This window comes from Homo sapiens, chromosome 5 (genome assembly GCF_000001405.40).
Source record: "Homo sapiens chromosome 5, GRCh38.p14 Primary Assembly".
Classification (NCBI taxonomy): Eukaryota; Metazoa; Chordata; class Mammalia; order Primates; family Hominidae; genus Homo; species Homo sapiens.
The window spans coordinates 107,852,862-107,862,106 of NC_000005.10; the positions used below are offsets into that span (position 1 = coordinate 107,852,862).

Below are 9,245 nucleotides of genomic sequence, written 5' to 3' on the forward strand. Positions count from 1 at the left end.
AAATCAAGCTTGCTAAGCTTTCTCCATTCCTTTCAGCATTATTTATAAAGCTCACCATTGTCAGTAGCTACTAGGCCCATCAAGGCAGTATCTATTTGTGAGACGGTTCTTTTTAAAAATCTTGTATTTAATGACTAATTTTTCATTTTCCATTATGTTAACCACAGAGGGCTGAATAGACTGCATTTGGTAGGCGGTATTCATGGTGGGATGGTGCACGGACACGTGAGCACGTGCACACACACACCCCAAGCCACACCATTGGAAGATTTCAGTCTACAGAAATGAACTCAGTGAGTGCCCACCGGCCTGGTTTTGCCAAATATCCTCAGGCCACTTGACATTGACGCCTCTCATCTCCAAATCTTTCAAGTAATGCCAAACTGTGGGGAAAAAATTCGAGAAATGCATGACTGTCTCTTCCATCATTTGGTGAATAGAAGAGCTGAATCAAATAATGCCTGCCCTTTCAAATGTTTCTGTTTTCTGTTGGGCTGTTGGCATCCACACATAGTTTTATTAGTCAAGGAAAATCACAGGAAAAGGGGATGCTTTGAAGGGCTAACGCTTAGATGATTTTAGTTTTCTGAAGTTTATTTCCTGGAGATGGTTGCATTTCAGGGATTGAGGAAGCCTCTCTAACTGCATTTGTATCTACTAAATAGCTCATGAAACTAGAATGAATTTTTATAAGCATTATGCCCCAATAATATCCAGCAACGGTAGTATGGGCAAATAAATTGTGCCCATACTATAATATAATAAAAGGGATAAGCTTGACCCTAACTGAATTTCCATTTCAACTCTAGATTATCACATTATCGGATGAGTCTCTGTATTCTTCGAAGAGGTTTTGATACCAGATTTATTGGCATAATTAAAAATGAAGTGATAATGAAAGGGCCCCCCACTGCTTTACAAAACCTGTATAGTGGTCCTTTGATTTCTATGGTAATGACACGACAGATATGCCACACGAATTCTCACAGCTGTCTCGGCACAACATGAACAGCTGTTCCACTTAGAATTCCAATGAGGGTCAGCTAAAAACCAGGAACTTACACAGTGCTATGCTCCCAGCACAGGAGAAGGGTGAGACTACTGGTTCTCCCATCTCTGCCACCTGCTTAAATATGGAATTCTGTAAGCTCTGCGTCATGCGGAGATAACCTCCATAACCAAATAGGTGGGCAAGCTTGTGTCTAGGTTTAACAACTCTTGATGGTCAGTCAATCGATTTAAATAAGGTATAAAACATTTTTAATTTAAAATTTTAATATTGGATGCAAAATAATTTGTTACATATTTTAAATGCTTTGTATAATGTAATGTTACATATGTTTAACTTAAAATATGTTTTATATTAATAAAACAAATATTGGTAAAGCCATCCTTCAATTTATGAAATAGAACCTATGAATTTGGTTGAAGGCCTTTTTGTGGTCTTAGAATCCCAGTGCACTGCCTGTCCTCCCATAGATAACAACTACTCTGAAATTTTGCAATTGTTCCTTCTTTCTTTTTCCTTTTTTCTAAATTCACTTGCATCCCTAAATAACAGATTATTTAATTTTGTTGGTTTTGAATTTATACAATGATGTACAGCTTTCTGCATTCTTCTAGGACTAGCCCTTTTCATTCAACTGTCTCTAAGATTCACACATATTGAGATACGTTGTTGTAATTCATTCATTTTTACTACTTTGTTTAATTGAATTAAATATGTAAAAGTTCCTGGTTTTACTGTGATAATGCTGCTATGCAGGTATTTTGGTATAAGTCTCTCGGTTCACATGTGTTAATGTTTCTCTGGGGTATACACCTATGAAGGGAATTGCTGTATGTGCATGTTTACCTTTTTAAGATAATGCTAAAATCTTTTCCAATTTCCACAGCAATGTGTAAGTGTTCTCATTGTTCTACATCTTTGCCAAAACTTAATCATGCAAGACTCACTTTTTGCTAGTTTTTTGGGCATAAACCTTGTATCTTTTAATTTGCATTTATCTAAATACAAATGAGTTTGGGTTTGTTCTTCGATACAAATTTAAGAAAAAGCTTGTTGAGTTTGATTTTTAAAAAACCTTATTAGGATTTTGTTTGGAATTGCATGATATTAGTAGATTAATCAGGGGAGAATTATCAGGTTAAGAACTGTGAAAGGTTTGAGATTTTACTCTACTTGTAAATTTACATCAGTCTGTTAGTTTCAGGGATGCTGGCAGAAGACGCTAGACTCTTGAATCAGAGACAAAGGACTTTATTACCCACAGCAATGGCAGTAGCCAGAGTATCAGCATTTTCCTGAAATGCTGATTCTGAAGGTTCTGAAGCTGCAATTCCCACAGGAAATGTGAAGAGGGTGGGTGACCCCTGTGTCTGTACTGGGTTGTGGTACAGGAGAGGAACACTGAACATAGGAAATAAGTATTTTATATGGAACAGCAAGTATGTTTACCCTCTGCTCTAGAGGGAGACACTATCCCTGCCTTCGAAGGCTGTTCACCATAAGGACATCTTTGAAAAGATAATCCAGAGCAAAGGCAGCACATAAGTAAGCAATCTCTGCTTGAAAGATGTGCAGAAATGCAAGATGCCTATGGAGATATGTCTCTCAACATGACATCTGTAGAATATTAAGACTTCCTTTCCGTGAAGATGTTTGCTGTCTACATTTTTTTCTGTCTTTTAATATAGTTTTGTAATTGACTCATAAAAGGAATGCTACTTTGCGTATTTGTTGCTTTTTTAAAAAGTATTTTTTGAAATTACGTTTTTCTACTTCATGATTGGTATATAGAAATGTAAATAGGTATTATATTTGAACATTACATCAACTAACTTTTAAATCCTCTTAATTCTATTTTCTAGATTCTTTTGGGGTTTTGCTTGTCTATGTCTGTTATGTCTATATTCTTGTCAGCTGTGTATAATTCAGTTTGTCCTTTCCATTATGGCTCTTACTCTTTTATTTTGATATTTCTGTGCTGGCTTAGCTCTCTGATTACCATGTTAAATAGAAGTTATAATAATAGTAAACATTCTTTTTTCTTTTTCTGATACAAGGTCTTGCTCTACTGCCCAGGCTGGAGTGCAATGCTGTGATCATAGCTCAGCGTAGCCATGAATTCCTGGATCCAAGCAATCCTCCTGCTTCAGCCTCCTGAGTAGCTAGGACAGGAGGTGCCACGCCCAGCTACTTTAAAAATTTTTAGAGTCAGGTCTCACTATGCTGCCCAGGCTGGTCTTAAACTCCTGGCCTCAAGTGGTCCTCCCACCTCGGCCTCTAAAAGTGTTGAGATTGCATGTGTGAACCACTGTGCCTGGCCTTTTAAAAATTTTATACTATTTATTTAGTTTTTTCTTTAAGTATCTGTTCATTTTGGTAGTTTCTTTTTTCTTATACGTGTTAAACACCTTTTTAATACAACACGTTTATTTTGTAGTATGTATCTGAAAATGTAATATTGAAGTCTTTGAGGATGTGGATCTATTTGTTGTTTCTACTGACTTGCCCTGCTAATCCTGGGTTATGTCCTTTTCATTTCTCTGTGATTTTAGATTGTGGGTTTATATTTGCTGGCATGCTATCTCTGCGGTTTCTTTTGAGGACTGGGTTGAGGGTACCTTTCTTTCTCCAGGGATGATTTGTGTTTGCTTTTGTCAGACACTGAGCACTACTGACATGAATCCTCTTAAAAATACAATGGTCAGCCATATAAACTACGTAAACAGTGTAGATTCAGTTACTAACTCCAACTGTTTTGTGTGTGTGTGTGTGTGTGTGTGTGTGTGTGTTTGAGACATGGTCTTGCTCTGTCACCCACATTGGAGTGCAGTGGTGTAATCATGGCTTACTGCAGCCTCGCCTTCCCAGGCTCAAGTGATCCTTCCACTTCAGCCTCTCAAGTAGCTGGGACTACAGGCATGTACCACTATGCCCGGTTAATTTTTTTTTTTTTGAGTTTTTTGAGTTTTTATAGAGATGGAGTCTTGCCACATTGGCCAGGCTGTTCTCCAACTCCTGGGCTCAAGCAATCCTCCTGCCTCGGCTTCCCAAAGTGCTCGGATTACAGGCATGGGCCACCACACTTGGCTTAAACCCATTTGAATGTTTTTAGCCAGTAGCTGTTAATTTGCAGGGGAGCCCTTAAAAAAAATCCATGAACAGCCCAGGCTGAGAATGGTTACTTTCCTCACTATCTGCCTCTTCGATTTTTTGATTTATTGTAGTTCACTGTTTTTAAAAGGGTAGAGCATTTCAGGGATCCAGGCTTTCCGTGAGGTAGGTATGACTCTCAATTATTCACTGGCCCTAAATGTTCCACAAGTTCTCTAGGCTATCGTGATCAATATAGTCCCACGTTCTGATTGTTTCCAGGGTTGTCTCTAGAGAGATAAAAGTTTAGCTCATGCATCAGAGTCACCTGGAGGATTTGCACACAGATTTTGGGACCTTACTCTCTGAGTTTCTGATTTAGTAGGTCTCATGTGGGGCCCAAGAATTTGTGTGTCTCAGTTCCCAGGCAATGTTGATGTGATTGATCTGGGGGCTATACTTGAGAACCAACTCTATGGACTAGGTTGATTGGCAAATTTTCTCTGTGAAATGCCAGAGTAAATCTTTCTGACTTTGTGGATCACATGGCCTTTGTGAAACCACTCAACTCTACTGTTGTAGCATGAAATCAGCCATAGAGAATGCAACAACAAATGGGTATGATTGTGCCCCAAGAAAACCTTATTACAAAGATATGTGTCTGGCCACGTTTGACCCAGGGTCCACTCTTTGCTGATCCCTGTTCTAGACTGCTGTTCGCGTTTTGTCCCGGGCCACAGGAGCTTTCTTTTGCTTTCTCGCAGGTATATTGGTCACTTAAGAAGGTTTTTAAAAAATATTTTAATGAACATTTTTAGATGTTACATAGCAGAAAATCTTTCAGGATCTCCTTTCCATTATATCATTAGAAGTGGAAGTCCTGCATTTTAAATTTCTACTTGTTTGAATAATTTAGGACAATGCTTTTCTAGCAGATCTGATTTTTCCCACAAGTCCAGTCTCTTTAGTAGGCCATAAAATGTTTATGATTTGCCCTTGTTTTCTTCCTGGAACCTTTCCCACCTGCTGCCTCTATATAACATACCTTCCTATTAAACTCAGTTACCTCAAGGGCCCTGCTCTTTCCATGCTATCTCATTCCCTCATGCCTTCGCACATACTTTTCTATTTTCCAGGTTGCCTTCCATTCCTTCCCCCAAGCAAAGCTGGTAAATTCCCGCTACTTCTCTAGCCTTCATGAAAATCCTCCTCCTCTGTGGAGCTCTCCCTTCCCAAAGCTGCTGCTCGGCCCTAGATGCGCTCCCCATAATTATGCCCATCATTATATCTATTGTACTCCACTGTTATTGCTAGTGCCCCACAATGTCCCCTTGTTAGGCTGTGAGTAACTTGAGAGTGGGAGTGAGTTCATTTATCTTTAAATTTCCAGTGCCTATACGTATTTGTCACTCAATAAATGTTTTATGAATTTATTTACTTTGGAAAAATAGAATATATGGCTATATAAATGATGACTATTTAGGAAATGGGATTTTAACAACTCATTTGATACGGTTTGGCTGTGTCCTCATCCAAATCTCATCTTCAACTGCAGTTCCCATAATCCCCACGTGTCGTGGGAGGGACCCAGTGGGAGGCAATGGAATCATGGGGGTGGTTTCCCCCATGCCATTCTTGTGATAGTGAGGAAGTTCTCATGATATCTGATGGTTTTACAAGGGGCTTCTCCCTTTGCTTGGTTCTCATTCTTCACTCTCCTGCCACCTTGTGAAAAAGGACTTGTTTGCTTTCCCTTCTGCCACGATTTTAAGTTTTCTGTGAGTCGATTAAACCTCTTTCCTTTATAAATTACCCAGTCTCAGGTATACCCTTTTAGCAGCATGAGAATGGACTAATACACACTTATGTAAATCCTTGAGATTTTAATCTTATCTCTATAATCACCAGCCCAATTAGAACCTCCTAAACTCAGTCTCGTTTATTATTCTGGGTTAGTCAAACCTACATAAGTCTGTAGTGAAACACAGAAATACACAGACCACTGCATGCATCATACCCAACCAGCATTGGGGAGGTCATTTATTGTCTCTAAAATAAAACAAAAGACACAGTGTTTTGTTTCTCTTTTATTGCAACCCACTGCAAGGTCAAAGATTCACGGAAATATAGAAACTACAAACCGGGTGAATTTTCTTTATCCACTCAAAAAGACATTAAAGACAAAGGACCAGAATTTTCCACTACAGCAATATATTTCATAGTCTTTATTCTGAAAATACTGTTGACATTTTGGAGAGAATAAAAAGCCCTGCATTAAACGTGTTCACATGTATTTATGACATTCTAAGCAAAAAAAAGAAACTCTATATTGCCCAGAAAAATTATTTTAAGCCTCATTTCAAAGCATCTAATGAGAACACATTCAACAACCATCACAGGACCACTCAAGGTGATGCTTTTTTCTGGCTGTTTTTTTTTTTTTTTTTTTTTTTTTTTGAGATTAATGCTTTGAGGCTGGATATGGTATTTCTACGGATTTCTACAAATGTACCAAAGCAGTTTTCCAGATTATGTTGCATCAGGCTTTCTGGATTAGTCAACATTTTAGAGAATAAGTGCAAGTCCCCACCCCACCCCCACCCCCCCAAGCTAAAGCATGTTATAGTGCTGTACTTTAGATTCAAACAATGCAACATTTAAAAAAATCAATTATACATTCTGAAACCATTTGACAACCAAACTGTAACACTCCAAAGGTTATTACAACTTTGAACTGAAATGGTACCATCTATATCATAGATGGCTCTCCCTTCTTTTGTCTTTTTTAACTATTTAAAATATAGTATGACATATATAAAAATTAAACTTTTGCATATTCACTCAAGCTACTATTACTATACATACTGTCTTATAAATTAGTTTTGGATTAAAAATCAGTTAAAATATTGTGAAATAAGATATTTCAGTGGTGGGGAAGTGGATATGAAAATGATACAGTTCAATGTGTAAGAAGAAATATAGTTTATTAATGTTAAACAGCTTTTTTCTTACACAAATTTTATTCCCTTCAAATTAAATTAGAAACCCATTTAGTTATGGGAAGAATACTCATGGCGCTTACTGACTAGATTTTCCTAACCGATTGGGATTAAAACAAAAATGCCACATCAGAAACATGTTGACATAATCAAAGGAAACAGTTGTTTACAAAAAAAGAGAATCATTAGAAATCAGTAAATGGCATTCAAATGTAAAGCTATCTTGTTTCTTACAGCTAATGTCATGTTAGCAATGTGAGACTTAAAGAAAGTGAAACTCAAACCTCAGTATATCTGTTAAAGACCAAATAACAGTTATATTCACTCAGGGAAAAATAAATAGCAACTTCACAAGTTAGGGTTTTGTTTCTAGTTCTACTGTGAAAGATAATCACTCTTTAGCTTAAAAAGGCTCCCTGATGTCCTCATTATAAATCTAGACACAGGAACAGTTATTTGAGCCTGAGTCCCTATTATGAATTAATTGTAAAGATGTGTTAAATCAAAACATATATTCATTTACTGATAGGTCTTGTCTTAACTGAAGCTGGCAATCCTTAATTAAACAAAGAAATGCTTATTTCTGACAAGTGTAAACAGAATTTCAATGAACAGATTTTCTAATTTTCTTTCTTAACTCATATATTAGCTAGCAATAGATCTTTGCAGTAGCATGAGAACTAGTCCAAAATGACAACATGCATATATCCAAAAAACCTGTTCAAGAACCCAAAGCAAAGCAAAAAGAGCAACAACAGTAGAAAGATTGTCTACTTATATCTCACTCATGAATCTTCTATTAATGTGACTACCCTCTCGTATCTCAGAAATAGACTTTAATAATTACCAAAATTAAGAAAATAATGAAATGATCTGTAGTTTTTAAAATAACTGCACACCATTAATTACATTGGTGGCTTCAATGCTAAGATTAGTTTCAAATATCATTAAAATATATCCTGACCAGTTACTATCCAGGAAATAAAAGCTAACACAATGTTAACATAAAACCAACTAAAATATTTAGTGCTCAACAGAATGCATTTGTAGAATAATGTATAATTAACTTTCGTGAGCTGGCCAGGAGAGTTCAGACTGTTGCCTCTATATAACAAATTTAGAAAAGGCTTTATTCTTTCTAGTCCCCAAGTCACCCACCAGATAGCAAGTTGGCCACCCGAGGATACACGGAGTTAGGCAGTGCCACAGTGGATAACATGCTACCTTAGTGGCCTGGAAGAAGGCTTCTCTGTCAGGAAACGATCTAGAGTAGATCAGAGCCCTGGTGTAGATGTGCACACGTGTGAATATGTGAGAGAGTGTAAGTGCCTGTACGTATAACATCACTTCTGCTGTAGTCATCATCAGTAGAAGTGCACAATTCATCCCATGTAAAAAGAAGGCCTTCTTACTTGGACATCTCCAAGTGGCAGCAATTAGAAGCTCAAAATAATACATCCAATTTTTTGACTCTATATTAAAAATAATTTTTTTTTAAAGAGAAAGAAGCCTTTGAAGTTAAAAACTAAAAAGTTTGTGGCTTTCATAATCTTTAATTTCTAAGAAAAAAAGCCAGCTCACTTGGGAACAAATGACAACTGCACTTTTGGTATGCAGTATGCAAACAAGACACAAATACACATACTTGAACACACACAGACAGGTGACAGTTAAAACCCTTCCGAGAGATCAGCTCCCCAAATGTACAATTCTCCTCTGCTCTGCTGAATGATCCCAGTGGACTAGGCGAGGCAGGAGCGCTAGGAGGAGGCGGCAGACATGTTGGGGGTCCAGCCCATCTGATAGGCTCTCTCCAAGGTCCTCTTGCAGTCCTGCAGGACGGTGCTGAAGGTGATGTGGGGGTACTGCTGCACCAGCTGTTCCACCGTCACTTCGTTGACCTGCAAACAAAGAAGAGTCACCATCACGCACAGAGACCACCAACACCACGCCGCTGCCCACGCTCACTGATGTGCTGCAGCTGGCTCACTGTGACACGAAGAGCCCTCGCCTTGTTCCTCCTAGCGATGTGAGGAAGGGTTTTGTGAGGAGATATGTGTCCCATTTCATCTGACCTCTCTGATCTCCCAGTAACACACCTGCCCTTAGGGATTTTTAATGTAACATCAAGAAATCAAAAGTGTTTT

At 38.0% G+C, this 9,245-nt stretch overlaps 1 protein-coding gene across 1 annotated transcript in view; it reads right to left on the minus strand.

Moving 5' to 3' along the window:
- Positions 1-6,173: 6,173 nt before the first annotated feature.
- The window catches only part of FBXL17 (F-box and leucine rich repeat protein 17), a 523,064-nt gene continuing 519,992 nt past the window's right edge, over positions 6,174-9,245 (minus strand). Inside the window, exon 9 of the mRNA NM_001163315.3 lies at positions 6,174-8,999. Coding sequence (NP_001156787.2) covers positions 8,859-8,999 — 141 coding nt within the window. The 3' untranslated portion in view covers positions 6,174-8,858. The remainder of the gene's footprint in view (positions 9,000-9,245) is intronic.